This window comes from Homo sapiens, chromosome 1 (assembly GCF_000001405.40).
Source record: "Homo sapiens chromosome 1, GRCh38.p14 Primary Assembly".
NCBI classification, from domain to species: domain Eukaryota; kingdom Metazoa; phylum Chordata; class Mammalia; order Primates; family Hominidae; genus Homo; species Homo sapiens.
The window spans coordinates 167,362,573-167,379,786 of record NC_000001.11 but is presented as its reverse complement, the minus strand read 5'-3'; the positions used below and the strand labels follow the sequence as shown (position 1 = coordinate 167,379,786).

Sequence of the window (17,214 nt, the reverse complement as noted above, 5' to 3'; positions counted from 1 at the left end):
GACAACGCCCTTGGCTTTGCTGAAAGTGAATGAAGGCAATCTCATTCTATCTTAAGGCTTTGGCAATTAACAAATCTAATAAACACACTTTGCATTGACCTTCCTAAGTCTTTCTGATCTAGGTCACTTTCTCCTTCCCTCTTGGCATTTTCTTCCATTGCGATTACCACTCTCCACTAGTTTTTGACTTCTGAAAATGCAGTATCTTTTGAATCTACTTAATCCTTTACACCTAAAAGGTTGGTTTCACCAAGGTTCTTCTAACACTACATATATATTTTCTCTGACCCTATCAACCCTCGTAGTTTCCTAAAAACCCAGGCATTATACCTAGATACTTCTTTCCTATCATTAATCAAATATAACTGGCCACCAGGTCCTGTCCATCTACCTACTTATTTACCAATTTTCCCTACCCAAGTTTCAACATGAACTTTATTAAATAAAAACTTGGAAATGCCACTTTTCTGATTAAATCTGTGGTTTAGTAGAGTTGACAGAAGACTTTCTTATTGGAAGATATTGGGCCATTCACATTAGACTCCTCTAAGTGAGTCCAGATACAGTGGCTCATGCCTATAATCCCAGCACTTTGGGAGGCTGATGCAAGAGGATCGCTTGAACCCAGGAGTTCAAGACCAGCCTGCGCAACCACAGCAAGACATGTCTCTATAAAAAACTTTTTTTTTTTTCTCAATTAGCCAGGTGAGGTAGTACACACTGTACTCCCAGCTGCTTTGAAGGCTAAGGTGGGAGGACTGCTTGATCCCAAGAGGCTGGGACTGCAGTGAGCCATGATTGTGCCACTGCACTCCAGCCTGGGTGACAGAGCAAGACTCTGTCTCAAAAAAAAAAAAAAAGTCAAAATTAGCTGGGTGTGGTGGCGCATGCCTGTAATCCCAGCTCCTTGGGAGGCTGAGTCAGGATAATCGCTTGAACTCGCGAGGCAGAGGTTGCAGTGAGCCAAGATCATGCCATTTAACTCCATCTCAAAAACAAACAAACAAATAGAGCAAGAACGAGGAGCCTGTGAATCCATTTCCTATTTATTCCATCTCAAAAAAACACAAAAAAACAAAAAGGCCTGATGCAGTGGCTAACGCCTGTAATCCCAGCACTCTGGGAGGCCGAGGTGGGCGGATCACCCGAGATCAGGAGTTTGAGACCAGCCTGGCCAACATAGTGAAACCTCATCTCTACTAAAAACCAAAAATTAGCCCAGCATAGTGGCGGGCGCCTATAATCCCAGCTACTCAGGAGGCTGAGACAGGAGAATCGCTTGAACACAGGAGGTAGAGGTTGCAGTGAGCTGAAATTGTGCTGCTGCACTCCAGCCTGGGCAACAAGAGTGAAACTATGTCTCAAAAAAAAAAAAAAAAAAAAATTAGCTGGGCATGGTGGCGCATGCCTGTAATCCCAGCTACTTGGGAGGCCGAGGCAGGAGAATTGCTTGAACCTGGGAGGCGGAGGTTGCGGTGGGCCGAGATCGTGCCATTGCACTCCAGCCTGGGCAACAAGAGTGAAACTCCATCTCTTAAAATCCCAAAAAACAAAGAACAAAAAAACTCAAAAAATAACAGATGCTGGCGAGGTTGTGGAGAAAAGGGAACACTTATACACTGCTGGTGGGAATGTAAATTAGTTAAGCCATTGCGGAAAGCAGTTTGGCGATTTCTCAAAGAACTTAGAATTGCCATTTGATACAGCAATCCCATTATTGGGTATATACCCAAAAGAATATAAATTTTTCTGCCATAAAGACACATACCCATGCGTATGTTAATTGCAGCACTATTCACAATAGCAAAGACATGGAATCAACCTAAATATCCATCAACACTAGACTGGATTAAAAAAAATGTGGTGCATATACACAACGGAATACTATACAGCCATAAAACTTTCAGTACATATGTACACAAAGAAGGGAACAACAGCCACCAGGGCCTACTTGAGGGTAGAGGGTGGGAGGAGGATGAGAATCGAAAAAACTACCTATCAGGTATTATGCCTATTACCTGGGTGATGAAATTATCTGTACATCAAATCCCTATGACATGTAGTTTATCTACATAACAAACCTGAGTGTAACCCTGAACCTAATAGTTTAAAAATAAGAAAAAAAGTAATTGGGAGGTTGGGGTTAGGGCTCAGGAAACTTTTCTAATTCCTCAAGTGATTTTTTAATTTTTTTATTTTTTAGACGGAGTCTCACTCTGTCACCCAGGCTGGAGTGCAGTGGTTCAATCTTGGCTCACTGCAAGCTCTGCCTTCCCAGTTCACACCATTCTCCTGCCTCAGCCTCCTGAGTAGCTGGGACTACAGGCGCCTGCCACCACGCCTGGCTATTTTTTTTGTATTTTTAGTAGAGATGGGGTTTCACTGTGTTAGCTAGGATGGTCTCGATCTCCTGACCTCGTGATCTGCCTGCCTCGGCCTCACAAAGTGCTGGGATTACAGGCGTCAGCCACCACGCCTGGCCATTAATGACTCTTAAATAAATCAAATCTTAGGAAGCACTAAGCTATAGGATTTAAGGTCAAACTCCTGGAAACTTAATCTAAGGTTCTTTAATGATCTGGTCTCTGCTAATCTTTCTGGGTTCAAATTTCACTATTACCTGCATATGCAAACTTATTCTGCAGTTGTAAGGCACTACTTATAGTTCTCAAACACAGCTTATTGATTTTTCTTCCATGTTTCTAAGGTTTGCAAATGCTGTTCATTTTCCAAGACTGACATTCTCTCTTTTGTAAGCCTATGAATGTATTTTCCCAAATTCACTGTGAAGACTTATCTGAGCACAAAGTTACAGGGGTCTCTTTGCTTGGTTCCCATAGCATTGTGTGCATATCAAATCTAACATAATTTAGGTCTGTTTCCCTGCCACTAAATTGTGAGCCCTCTGCAAGTAAATACTGAATTACTTATCTCTGAATCTTGAATATATGCTAGAATAATTATTTCATGACAAAAGATTTTGGAATGAATGATCAAGAAGAAAAAAGGCAAAAAAACCCACTCAGAAATAATAAAGAATCATTAGTGATGCACTAATGTTCCTTGGGTTGAAGCCTTGATACTCTGACATTCTTCACCCTGATTACATTAACTGACCTTACAGACGAGTGGTTGTTTGATATATTAATTATATAACATTTACCACTCAAATGACTCAAAGATGTTTTTTATAACTCACGAAATTTGTAGTTTCTATTATAGCAGTCTTCCCTCCTTAAATTAAAAAAACAATGGTTAGAAGCACATACTTTCAACACTCAGTCTATATTCTTTGAATACACTTCCATGAAAAACAATCAAAACACTAGCAGCAACTTATCCAATTTATGTTTGGCATGTTGAATAATTTCACTTAGACTTTTGGCCAAACTCTTGGTTCTTCCTTAGTGATTAAGCAGATGAATGGCAGTTCAGGGCAACCTTCAATAATGTGGTATTTATGACAAAAAACAAAACAAAACTTTTTTTAAACGAAAGTTTATAATCAAATAAAATTTAATAAAAACATTGGTCTAATAGTTTCAGGGCCAAAATGATAGTAGTTCATGCATGTGTAACATTCAGCGAACAGCCTTGGTATACCACTAATAAGCTCTAAGGAGGAGCTCACCCTGCTGGCCCTGGGGCGTCTGTGAGATGATAAACTGCGCTGGCTGCAAATTGGTGGTTGGATGCACCAACACAAACTGTTGCAGGTTGAGATTCTGCTGTTGAAGCTGTTGCAGTTGTTGAAGATCCTGAAAAATTGGAATTAAAACATGGATTGGAGATTCTGAAATAAAAGTTCGCTTAATTATAAGGCTTCCAGCTGATGACTTCTGTCACATCCAAATAAAGAAGAGTAAATACTTCGCATGCTTTCATATTCCAAACAGGGTATGCTCTGTGTGTGCTTGACAAAGCACGTGAAGCAACCTGGAGCCTCTGCAACTGACTATTTTTGTGGACTGACATATATTGTTATGATAAGCCTAATTTTCAATGTTTCTTTAAAATTCCCTCAGAACAAATATACTTCTGTTTTTTATCATGTAAAGACCAATATGGGTTTTAAAAATCAAGTGAGAAAACAGTTTTTAAATATTTGATTGATCTTTCTCTTAAATAAAAATTGATCGTGTTATGTCTGAATTTCCATCAATAAAGGGCCTATAATGACTTATGACATTTGACAACAGCTTATCTAACTCAACTGAAAAATCAGTATTCAATTTTTTTGCCCTTTTCCACATGTTCTAAAGTATTCAATTTTTTAAAACCAAAAATAGCTATCCATATAAAAATTTAATCCCTAACAACAATAGCACCTTACATTGGCCTACTGTTTTATAATTTTCAAAGTGTTTTCATGAACGTTATCTTATTTAGACTAATGTTAATATAGGGTCTCACAGCTTAGGCACTAAAAACATTTATTTGGTGATGAGAAAGTGGCCAAAATCAAAACATTATCTTGATAAAGATTGTATAAAGACTAGTCTGATATTTATTCTCTACTCTTACAGTTAATTAGTTCTTTTTAAATGGTTAGTCAAACTCTTGCTACAAGTTAAGTCCATTTCTGAGTCTTTTCTGAGACGGATAAAGACAGCTGTCTAACAATTAGACTCATAATAACTCTTCATATATTTTACTGATATATCTACTTATACCTTTTTCCTCTTCTTGAGATTAAAGATTTTATTTATTTTCCTCCTTGGTACTATTGTGTATGCTTCTTAATTTTTTTTTTTTTTAGTGGCGCGATCTCGGCTCACTGCAAGCTCCACCTCCTGGGTTCACGCTATTCTCCTGCCTCAACCTCCCGCGTAGCTGGGATTACAGGCACCTGCCACCACACCTGGCTAATTTTTTGTATTTTTAGTAGAGATGGGGTTTCACCGTGTTAGCCAGTATGGTCTCGAACTCCTGACCTAGTGATCCGCCCGCCTCGGCCTCCCAAAGTGCTGGGATTACAGGCGTGAGCCACCGCGCCTGGCGCTTCTTAAATAAATTTTTATTATCTCTAGATACTTTGCCCTAAAATGTGAAAATTGAAACCAAACAACATTCTAATGCAATAATGTTAATCACTCCATAGCAGAGATGACTCACTGTCTCACACATGGGTGGCAACATTCACCGCAGAGCACATGAAAAAAAATCCATGTCTGCTGTAATTAGCTAATTAAAATAAATACAGTAATCCCCTGCTTCAAAAATATGCCAGCTAATTATTCAAGAATTGTCACTTAATATAAAGTCAGTTATTCAAATAATCAGCTATATGTTTACAATATCAACTACAATAAGCAAACAAACATTATTTCTAATTCAGTGGTAAGGAAGGGTACCGCTTACCTCACTGATCTAGAGCTCCTCAGGCAGTTAAGGCCCCACACTAACAATCAAAAAGTTAATCTAACATTAAATAAAACCTGCCACTTTATTCCTCACTTGCTGCCCCAGCTATTGGAGTTCCTCACTCACCTGTGCGATCTGTATGGGCTGAGACAGGGGGATCTGCGTCATGGGCGTGGCAGCAGAGGCGGAGATGGTGGCTCCAGCAGCACTGTGCTGCTGGCTGGCGGAGTGCTGCTGCACTGCAGCAGCCAGCAGCTGTGCCTGTGCCTGTGCCTGCTGGAGTAGTAACTGTTGCTGGGCAGGCGTCAAAGTAAGCTAAACAAAACCAGAACACATTATGGGAAAGTGTTGAAGGAGAAAGTCTCCTAATGCAAGCCAACTGCTTTAAAATAGGTAACTCAAATGATATCAGTCCCCAGCTACCCAACTTCACTTGCTTAGCAGACAGCTAAAATGTTCATCAGTGATCAAACTACCATTACTAGCAGAACATTTAAATTAAAATGGTGGTCCCCACTATGGACTTAATCATTCAAGCTTGTCCAGGGCCCTAGGGTTTGGGCAAAAAAGTAATTAACTAGTAAGCAAGAAAAAAAAAAAAGAATCACCACTGACAAGATATGAAAATACATTTACACACAACCAAACAGCAAGTGATTAGTCAGATGAATGAGGAACAAGGATGCTGGATATAACCAAGGAAAGAACTGATAAGGCCCAGCTGCTTCCCATTAGCATGAATCCCTGCCATATTCCATCATTTCCATTAAGTCCAAAGATATGACTAAAGAATATGAGCTCCATTTGTTTCTTTTCCAAGTCTCCCTACAGGCCCCTCCCTAACACAATCTTTTCTGTTATTGAAAGCACTGAGTCTCTGCAACTTTACATCTCCTTTCCAACACATTATCTCTATGAAACAGGTGGTGATAGCCGTTCTCTTTACATGCAAATGAACCCTAATGCCCAGGTTTAACAGAAGCTCCAGCCAAAGGAACCTAGAATCCCAACTCCCTCTTACTATTGTAGACACTAGTCACCAAAAACAAGACCCAAATAGTAAAGTAGGAAATGTATTTAGAGCATATTTAAAGTTGTTTTCATAATGCAACTTATTTCAAACACACTTAAAGTAGTAAATGTGTTCTACTTTTCTTTTGGTGACAAGTTCTGATTGATCAAACAAGATGGAACCATAATTTTCTGAAGTATATGTACAGTCACTTAGTGCCACAACCTCCTCTAAAAGAATCAAACACAATTTGTGCATTAGAAACATAAGGCTCAAAACCAAACCATTCAAAAACTCAATACCCTTCAAGGGATATGTGTGTATATAAAGTATAGATATATTTTTAATTTTTACATAATATATATATACATACATCTCTACTCATGGGATTTTGTGAACAATTTTGCAACAGTTCTTAAAACAGTTGTCCACTGACAAAACACACTTAACTGGGAAAAAAAGAAAGAAAGAAAGAAAGAAAACAAAAAACCCTAGGAAATTCTTGGGAGTTAATGTGATGTGAATTGAATAAAAACTATTCCTTACCATTGCCCTAAACCAACCCCCACAAAGATAATTTAATACACAAATTTTCAACATTGGAAAAATATTTTGAATGGTGCCTTAGAGAAAAGACAGCTGAAAACTTAAAAGCTTAATATAGCCAAACAGGCCAATTTATTAACCATAAAAAATAAATGACAGAACGTCTCAGCCTTTTGGCTAAGATCAAGTACAAAAATAAACAATATTTGTTGAATGCTACATGCCAAGCACCGTTCTATAAGTTTTACATGTATTATCTCCAATCTTTACAACAGTAATGTGAGATAGGTATTATTAGTATCTCCATTTAACAGAAGGAAAACAGGTAGAGGGAAATGAAGTAATTAGGCCATACGGTAAGTTGCAGAGCTAGGATATGAAGCCACATGCTTTATTTTAGATCATTACACAGTAACTTAAAGAAAAATGTTTTTCTTTTGCAGGTACTAATCCATTCTTTAACTTCTACCCTGCAGTGATGTCTTAATGCCAAATGGATAACTGCCATTTTCAGTGTAATGATCTCAACCATATGATAATTACTCCATTGCATGATGAAGCAACACCTGAAACAGGGGTTTAATAAGGTTTTTAATTTATCCAGAGCATCCACAATTCTAATAAAAGATATCCTGAAAACTTACGACAAAGATAATTCCTTTTTCAGAGCAACTTACTACCTACAGTGTAGGAAGTTCCTTAAAGACACAATAGTGCCAGGCATAGCCATGTTACTACCAGCTATGGTGAACAATTCTAATCAGCTATTGGCCAATGGCAGTTCTGACACAGAAAAAGTTTGTTATAATTCTCTCAGTGAACACTTACCCCAGTTATCTGTCCTCCAGCTAGCATAAGCTGGGTCTGGGGAATGGCTGCCTGCACTGAAGGCTGCTGGGAAGGCTGGCTTGGCTGCTGCGAATCCCCCGATTCTTCATTAGATTTAGACTGAGGTGGGGTGGGTAGGAAATAAAAGATTGCAAATGGTTGATTAAAAGAAATGTACTTAAAACCCCATCTTTTAGGAATCATTTAAAACATGAGCTTATTCAGTCATGAGTTCTGGTTTACCTCCTTTCTTTTATTTGTATTTTCCTAGTTTCACATACCAAGTTTTTAAACTTGTTAATTCTAATGCCAGCAAAGCTGCTATTACAATTTTTAAAAATAAAGTCATCCCCCACAAATTTATAGATTTTTTTCATAGCCCCCAATTCCTCAACTCTAGAAATAGGGGGTAAAGGGAAGAATATATTTTCAATTCACCTCTACATTAGACCTTCCAAACCAATATTTTAACATACACCTGGTGGTCAGTCTGAAACTTCTCCATATACCATCTCAGAGAATGATCACTTGATCCACAGAACTTTCCACCTAATATTTTACAGAACGGTAAATCTAGCAACTCCCATCAACTAACACACAAGCTCAGAGAGAAAATGCTGCAGTCAAGAGAGAGGGGCACGAAGAGAAAATTTTACGGTAATTAAAACTGGTTATGCAAAGCATTAAAATTCTGCATAGATTTGCATATTTCTCACCACCTGTTTTGGGGACTGCAGCAAGGCTAATTAACATAAATGCTCTGATTAATTCTGCCAGTCATTGAGAGATAATTACAGTGCAGGACTGTAAACATTCTGCACTGGAGATACAGCCTGTTTGCCAACATCTCTCTAAGGGATGAAAGTTTACCATGGCAACCAAGGCAATTTTCCGCCTCCTCTCCCTCAGAAAGTAAGGTCACATTATCTCTTTTTCTTTTCTCTCCTTGTTCCTACGTGTTACTAGGTCCATATTCAACTGGGTTTCATGAAATGCTCAACCCAAGGTCTTTAGTCATTAGCAACACTGAAATCAATCTTCCATAATACTGTCTTTCCCTCTTGACTGCTAGTTACCTAAACACTATAATGAAAGGAACCAGCAGGTTGATAGAAATATTAAGAGGGCAATGTCTAACACTTGAACTTTGCATGTTGTGCCATATGGTTCAAAGAAGGAAAGTGGCCAGATTTAAGTTTTAAGATTTTGATTGTCTATCCACCAACATCTACAAACAGGTTTAATTACAATTATTAGAAGCCTAACATTTTAGGATGGAGAGGAACCCTGGCAATCTTATAAATGTCCCCACTTAAGTACAGATGAGAAAAACTGAACCCAAGGAGGTTATGTGACTTGCCAAAGGTCACACAGCTAGTCAGTGGCAGAATGAGAATGCAAACCTAAGACCCTTGTGTCTCAGTCCAGTGTTCTTTCCTCTTCCCTATAAGGTCTCCCTAAGACATCAAAAATGATAAATAACAAGTCTTTTGGAAACAAACTGGCATTTAAGAGAACTTTCAGGCTGTGTGTTTAGGTATGTGTTATAGCAGTATAACTTAGAAACATTTTTACTGAACTTACACATACAACTTTGAAAGTAGACTTTTCCTGTCCATTTTTGGTTCATGCACAGTAGCATAATATAAAACTGATTTTCATTAATGGTAATAATTATCATTATTTGAATCTTCACGAGATTCACTAATTTTGAAAAGGTAATACTTCTAAGCATTTCCTATTATAAAATATATGCTCACTACAGAAAAATATAAGAAAAAATAAATAAAAGATTGACCCATAATCCCAGGTCCCAGCTTACCTGTACATTTAAAGACTGAGCAGCAGCCTGTAAACTTGTTCCAGCGAGTTGGACCTATAAGTAATCAGGGGAAGTTCTAGTTTAATACTGTTGACATTCATCACAAGGGGTTGTCATCACTAAATAAAGTCTACTATGTGTCACCGAGCTAGAACTGAGAAGACAAAGAAGTTTGTCTTACGGAGTTAAAACTTTATGAACAAGCTCAGTCCCTTCTCAACCCACCCTACCCCACCCCAACGGGTCCCACAGAAAAATGCTGTTAATCTTTTTTTGAAGATGTTTTCCCACACTAAATGAACATTATCAGCCATGCCACACTTGTATTGAATGCTCCTTACATAACATTGTTTGTATTCACAGAATGCTTAAGATTCTAAAAATTTAATTAACCTTCCACATTGTGTTAAAGAACATATAAGCTATCTATATACATTCTTTATTATTAGAAACAATCAGAACCATCTACTTATTTTAATTTTGAATGTTCCATGTATACACCAGAGTAGAAATATATTTACACACCCACACAGCCAAGTCCTTAAAACATTTATAATCATAACTTAAAACTCTTAGCTGAAATAGAAAATCTACCCTATAAACCACACATAAAAGTCTGTCAAAACATTTAATACATTTCATACATTCAGAAAGTTCAAATCATGGTTATGTGAAAATAAGGATACACATGGAATTAAGACCATCATTTGGCAACTATGATAATAACTATGATTTAGGCAGAGTCATCAATGGATAACTAATGGGTGAGAAATCTGAGGAGTAACAGGATATTTACATATTCTCAGCTATGTCTCCAATGATACTTGATACTCACAAAGGGTAAAATAGTATCTTTTCAGTGGAGAAACCTGGCAGACAAATAATCAAGTGAGCACAAACAAGAGTCACCAGGAAGGAGACACAGGCCTTCTGCTAAGATGCACTGAGAGGAATACAGCATTGCTTATGCTGCATCCCTAACAAAAGTGTAGAATCTGAATCTAATCATGATGAAAATCAGACAAACCCAAACTGAGAAACACTACAAAATAACCAGTGTACACTGTTCAAAACAGTCAATGTCCTGAAACAAAGAAAGACTGAGGAGGGAGAAAGAGACTATAAACTAGGCTAGAATAAATGGAAAACTAAACTAGAATGGTGGCAGTGGGAATAAAAAGTAGGAAACATGAAAGTCTCTGCAATGCACTACATAAGGATCCTGACTGGATTTAGATTAAAAAAAGAGAGTCATGCATTATTCCAGGGTTCAAATCTGGGCAACTGGAAAATGGTAGTACCACTAACAGGGACAGAGAAGATAATGAGTTCCATTTTGTATACACCAGATAGCATCAAGATGTCCTGAGATTAAATATAAATGTTGGTATGGAGCTCAGTGAAGAGTTAAGAGCTAAAATGAATTGACTACTATGTCCTTTATTTGAAACTGCTAGTCCTGTTAGTAGATGAGAACCCTCAAACACAAAAACAAAAAACCAAAATCTGAAGACATATGTAGAACACATTTAAAATACAGTGTAATCAGGAGAGGCCTATCTGAACAGATAATATGTTTAAGGCCTAAAGGCTAAGAAGTCAAAGAGCCCAAGGAAAGAACTTCAGGTACAAAGATTTGAAGAAGATAAAAATTTTATGTGATTTTTACTTATTACGTTTCAGGGTAAAAGTCTGTTGAGGAATGGGATATTTACACAGTCTTTAAAGTACTGCCTCACAGAGTATTACTTACCAGGAGGCAAAAAGACATATTTACAGTGGACAAATCTAATAAACACTACCTTAATAAAATAATCAAACTTAATATCACAATAATGGGACAAAGCAATATGATACGGCTTCTGAATGCACCGAGAGGGACTCAGCATCATTTCTGCTGTATTCCTTTCAAAAATGCATAACTTGGGTTCAGCCGTTGAGGGAACAATCATATTCAAGTTAAATGGGCATTCTATCAAACAGCTGGCCTCTATTCTTCAAAAATGCCAATATCATGAAAGACAAAGACATGCTGAGGAATTGTTCTGGATTGAAGAAGACTTAACAGACATGACAGCTAAACGCAAAGTATGGACTGGATTGTGGGCAGGAAGTATATAAATATGGGCCAATATTGGAAAATGATATCGTATCAATGTTAAATTTCTGGAATTTGAAATTTGCACTGCAGTTTTATAAGAGAATGCTGTTTTTAGGAAAAACATGCTGAAGTATTTAGAAGTAAATGGTTATAATGTCTGCAACTTTCAAAGGGGTTAGCAAAAAACAATTTTTTTTGGCTCGGTGCCATGGTGTACGCCTATAATCACAGTTAGATGCAAGGCAAGAAGATCCCTTGAGCTCAGGAGTTGCAGATCAACCTGGGCAACATAATAAGACCTCATTTCAAAAAAAAAAAATTTGTACGTGTACATACATACATATACACATATGGTAAAAGCAAAATGTATTTTGTATGTGTACATACATACATATACACATATGGTATAAAGCAAATATGGTAAAATAGTAACAACTGGTGATTCTAGGTGAAGGGCTTTCAGATGAACACTGTTCTATTGTTGTAACTCTTACAAATTTGAAAGTTTTTTTAAAATAGGAAGTTAAAAATAAAAAGAAGAGAGCATTCCTTTACCAACTCCATTTAGCTAGTTTCCAACACCCCTCAAGACTCAGCTCAAAAATCACCCTGAGAGAAATGTCTTAGATTGTACAGGGTAAGCTAATCATTTCTTCCTCAGTAGTCTCATACTTGACCATTTAGTCATCTATGACTTTATTCAACAAATAATTACTGAACACCTATTGTATTATGGGGTTCTTTGGTAAATGCTGGGACACAGGTAAACAACAAAAGGTTTCCATTTTCATGGAACTTATAGTTAATGGGGCAACAGACCTAAAGCCATCGATTTTGTGTATGTATATTATAATTATGGTAAGGAAAGGTTCAAGGTGCTAATTCTGTCAATAAGGGGCTTGGAAATAGAAGGCAAGTGTCACACTGTTAATTATGTAGCTAATCAGATGCAAGGACTTGTGTCTTGATGGGAGATTCAATGGTGTCGCAATTTCAAATAAAATTCTTTTGTTTGCAGTCCTTTGGTCTGGGTGGTATTGAAGGGTCTGTGATTTTGGTAATCAGTGGCTAGATCTAGAGGTCTTGGAGCTGGTACAGGGAGAGTTGCAATCATCTTGGAATTTGGATCCAGAAGGATCCTGCAGAGAAAACTGCACATCATCTGTGCACCCTCAGTGATTTTTTAATACATTTGGACCATCACATATTTAAGCCAGATAAAGATGCTTACTAGGTGACAAATAATTGACTAAATTCTGTCAAAAATGCTATTCCTCTTAGGAACCCAGAAAAATTACTGGAGGCTTGAATATGTTCTTAGAAAAAAAATCAACATGAAAACATTTTTTTCTTCTAGGATATATTTAAAATATATTTTAAAATTCATTTTAGATGTTAATTCATTTTAATATTTTATCTGGAAGTTAATGTCAAAGTTTTTCCATTTCAAAGATATAAACGAAGCTATGTGCCTGAGCAAAAGTGTTCCATTAGGCCTCACTGTAACAGATAATAACTGCTGCCTACATGATATCCATTTGAGTCTGTGAACAAATAAATGGGCTTTAGAACAGCTTCCAGGATTTTACCTGTTTTCAAGTAGAAGAATTTCTTTTATAGTTTAGGTGGTCTGATGACATATTTTGATGAAAAGACTTTAGTAAGATGTATATATTCAGTGCTCAGTAACTCAGTATATTAATATGTAACCTGTCTTATGTACATATGGGTTTTTCACTGAATCACTACCACTACCATCATTAGGCACCATCACTAGCACCATTACTATCAACACATATAGACCACCAAAATATTGGTCTAATATATAATTGTGAACATAAGTCAAGAGGTTGAGACACTCTGATAATCTAGCTCCCAACTGTTTTCACTGTTTTCCATTTTCAACCAGCTTCCATATTCCAAAACTATTGAGTAGCCAGTGTTTGTTTTTTTATTCCCATTCCCTCTACATTATAGCTAAAGCATGAATGAACAGAATTCATGGTCTGTTTTAGACCCAGGGAAAAAAATGTTGTGACATAGGGTAATAAAGTTGAGGCAGAGTCTTTTGAACCTCAAACTAGGGTGCGGGGGTCACAGTCAAGCAAAAGCCTCTGAGTAGTTGCCCAAATCAACTGTCATGGTCTGGAACTGTTTTAGAGGACAGAAATGAGCTTGGAGCTCAGAGCCTTACACAGCAGGTCTCAGGCAATGGTAGCTACATCTTTCTGGATGATTTTGATAATTTGCTACCATCAGATAGCCACCACAGATACCCACTTATAAAAACAATAAACCAGTTGTTATACACATTCCATTCACAACAAGGAATTCTTTTGTTTCCCACACACCTGTGGGGTCAATGACTATACACTCAACTAAACCATAGGATTTCATACTAACCAAATAGAATGACACAATTACACAATTAGCACTAGGCTTTAAATAATTTAAAAGGTCCCACATTCTGAAATAACTTCCTCAGGCCCCAGTACTTTACGCCTCTATCTTTCACTCTCACTGATGGTTGAGCAGAACATTCCTACCTGATGGAGATGTCCAAGGAAAGCCTGCGCCTGGGCTGTTGAGATTGCTCCTCCTACAGGCACAGGCTGCTTCTGAAAGTCCAGACCATTGGTTTGTGTGCCTAGAAAGCAAGCAAAATAATTTCAACTATTAAAAGAAATAAATGAAATAAAGCACTAGATTTCAGTTACCAACATTCATCAGGCACCTATTTTGCATAAGTACTTTTCTAAGTACCTCCAAGGAGAAGGGATTCAAAAGAAAGGAAACAGTAAACTGGTTTATCTTCTAAAAGCAGGACTGCATGACAAGTACACAAACACTGATAAAGCTTAAGAAACAGAAACAAAAATATAAATAATAAATTACAATCATAAGATGGTATGTGAAAATTCAGATGTGAATGCAGCAACTGGAGCAGCTAGCACAGGAACAGAGTTCAAAGACACCCTGAGGCTCTCTTCTATTTTTCAGCCTACTTGATATGTGGCTTAGACAGAAGAAATTCACTGGCGACTTTGCCAAGAGCAAGAAAGACTTATTATTAACTCTGAACACTTTAATGAATAGCAATCTGATGGCAAAAAGCAACCTTCTCCATGATAAGCATAAAGAAAACAATAGCTGTACTAATTCCTTTAATCCTAAACAACAGATTGCTGCATGTATCTCATTAGCAAGGGCCCTGCTGTAATTATATTTTTCAAAATGTTATGCGAGGCTGGGTGTAATGGCTTATGCCTGTAAACCCAGCACTTTGGGAGGCCAAGGTGGGTAGATGGCTTGAGCTCATGAGTTCGAGGTCAGCTTGGGCAGCATGGTGAAACCCTGTCTCTATAAAAAATCGGCCAGGTGTGTGGTGGTGTGCGCCTGAAGTCCCAGCTACTCCAGAGGCTGAGGGAGAATGGCTTGAGCCCAGGAGGTGGAGGTTGCAGTGAGCCGAGATCACGCCACTGCACTCCAGCCTGGGTAATAGAGCTAAAACTTGTCTCAAAAAAAAAAAAAAGAAAGAAAGAAAGAAAAAAAAATGTTATGCAAGAGCTTTTTTTTTTTTTTTTTGAGACGGAGCTCGCTCTGTCGCCCAGGCTGGAGTGCAGTGGCGGGATCTCGGCTCACTGCAAGCTCCGCCTCCCGGGTTCACGCCATTCTCCTGCCTCAGCCTCCCAAGTAGCTGGGACTACAGGCGCCCGCCACTACGCCCGGCTAATTTTTTGTATTTTTAGTAGAGACGGGGTTTCACCGTTATAGCCGGGATGGTCTCGATCTCCTGACCTCGTGATCCGCCCGCCTCGGCCTCCCAAAGTGCTGGGATTACAGGCGTGAGCCATGCAAGAGCTTTTTAACCACTTCTGCTGTGATCTGATATTAGAATAGGGCTAATTTATGGAAAGACATGCCACCCTAACACCCAGAAATATTTTCTAAGGGATTATAATACATTGTTTTCAAATTACTATATCCAGTTATTATTTTAAAAAGCCAGAACATTATGTACTGAATAAAATATAATAGGCCACAGGAATCTCTAAGAATTGTCTAGACCATGGATATGGTTCTACACTTCCATTTCCTACCACTCAAACATCCCATTCTTCCCATCCTTACACTTACATGTGCACACACATCCAGAGCAAACCAGTCAGAAGAGCACAAAGTTAGAACCTTACAGCAGTGTTTGTAAGACAGTGCTAACGTCTGCCAATATACACATCCTAATTTCTGGCAGATGTATTACTTAAATAAGAATGAATAATTAGGTATAGAACATGAAGCAGAGCCCTATTTGTTTCCTTGAGATAATTATAAAAGATATGTATGAATATTTCACTTTCTAAAAATCATAAAATCGCTTCTATTTTTTCCTAAAGTCTTCCACAAATAGAAAACTACAGAACTACTTAGACATATACAGTTAGTAAAATTAAGAATGCATGCTTGTGTCAAGTAATTGAAAACTTGCGTGAAAATAAAATGTAATTAGAATCACCTCCTTTATTTTTTATTTTTTTCCACAACGAGACATTCTAGTCAAGTAAGTAGTCACTTCCATAAGCCACATGTAGAAGTTTCACTATTTTAAAGTCATGCGTTTTGTCATTAGTTGTTATCTCTATCTCTATGCAGGATATCAGTCCCTTTGTGGAGATTTTAAGATAGTACAGCATTATATTATTTTGTCAATCATACCTCAATAAAACTGGAGGAAAAAGAGACTGTTCACCATTAGAGAAACATGCTCAAGATATATTAAATAAATCAACAAGACTAAAAGAATATGAGATTTTGAAAAACCGAGACAAGCACTTAAAAGATTAACACACTACTAATAGGAGGTCTTCCAGAACCAAATATTCCACTCTCATGGAGTTTGTGAAAATTCTATATACTGGTTCCACTTTCAAGTTGCCATAAAAATGCTATCAAAGCTTCTTATAAGTCACAAAGCACTAAGTAACAGAGACATTGATGTCTAGTATCCCTGGTACAATGGTCTACTGGTAATAGTATTTAAGTGCCCTGGTTCTGCCTTGGGGGGGAGGAGGAGCTGAAGGCATGGTCTCTGTATTGTAAAATGTTCTTACATTTTTAATGTATTATGATATTTTGACATCATAAAAACCTTTCTGGCTGGGGAGAGACTGCCCCTCCCAGGTTTAGTCAATTCTTGGAGACAGCAAAGGGCCCAGTCAGGAGCATGTCTTTGATACACAAACTAACCAATCTAGAGCTATACTTCCTCAATCAGACTCTACAGGCAATATTCTGCCTTCATCCTAGGGCCAGGTACTGGGCAACTAGAGACGACCCCTAGGTGGTCCCAAAGCCCTCTAAAATTATTCAAATTAGCCAATCCTAAACTGTTTACTCTGTCCTGACTTTCCCACAGAAACCCCAACAAAAGTAGTGGCCTAGAGCCAGTGGGTAGCTTTCCCCTCTAATTCCAGCTACTCAGAGGCTGAGGCAGGAAGGATCCTTTGAGCCTAGGAGCTCGAGGCTGCAACCAGCTACGATCAT

General features: G+C 37.9%; 1 protein-coding gene across 13 annotated transcripts in view; it reads right to left on the bottom strand.

The window, feature by feature from the left end:
* The window catches only part of POU2F1 (POU class 2 homeobox 1), a 206,461-nt gene that overhangs the window by 47,559 nt on the left and 141,688 nt on the right, over window positions 1–17,214 (bottom strand). For 12 of the 13 annotated variants that reach the window (NR_037163.2, NM_001365848.1, NM_001365849.1 and 9 more), the window contains 5 exons: window positions 14,220–14,320; window positions 9,573–9,626; window positions 7,751–7,870; window positions 5,491–5,679; window positions 3,632–3,758 (listed from right to left, as the gene is read on the bottom strand). Coding sequence is in view for 12 of the 13 variants with exons in the window: in NM_001365848.1 (NP_001352777.1) it covers window positions 3,632–3,758; window positions 5,491–5,679; window positions 7,751–7,870; window positions 9,573–9,626; window positions 14,220–14,320 (591 nt within the window). In the remaining variant the exon portion in view is untranslated. The remainder of the gene's footprint in view (window positions 1–3,631; window positions 3,759–5,490; window positions 5,680–7,750; window positions 7,871–9,572; window positions 9,627–14,219; window positions 14,321–17,214) is intronic. The other variant, NM_001198786.2, reaches the window with a different exon arrangement.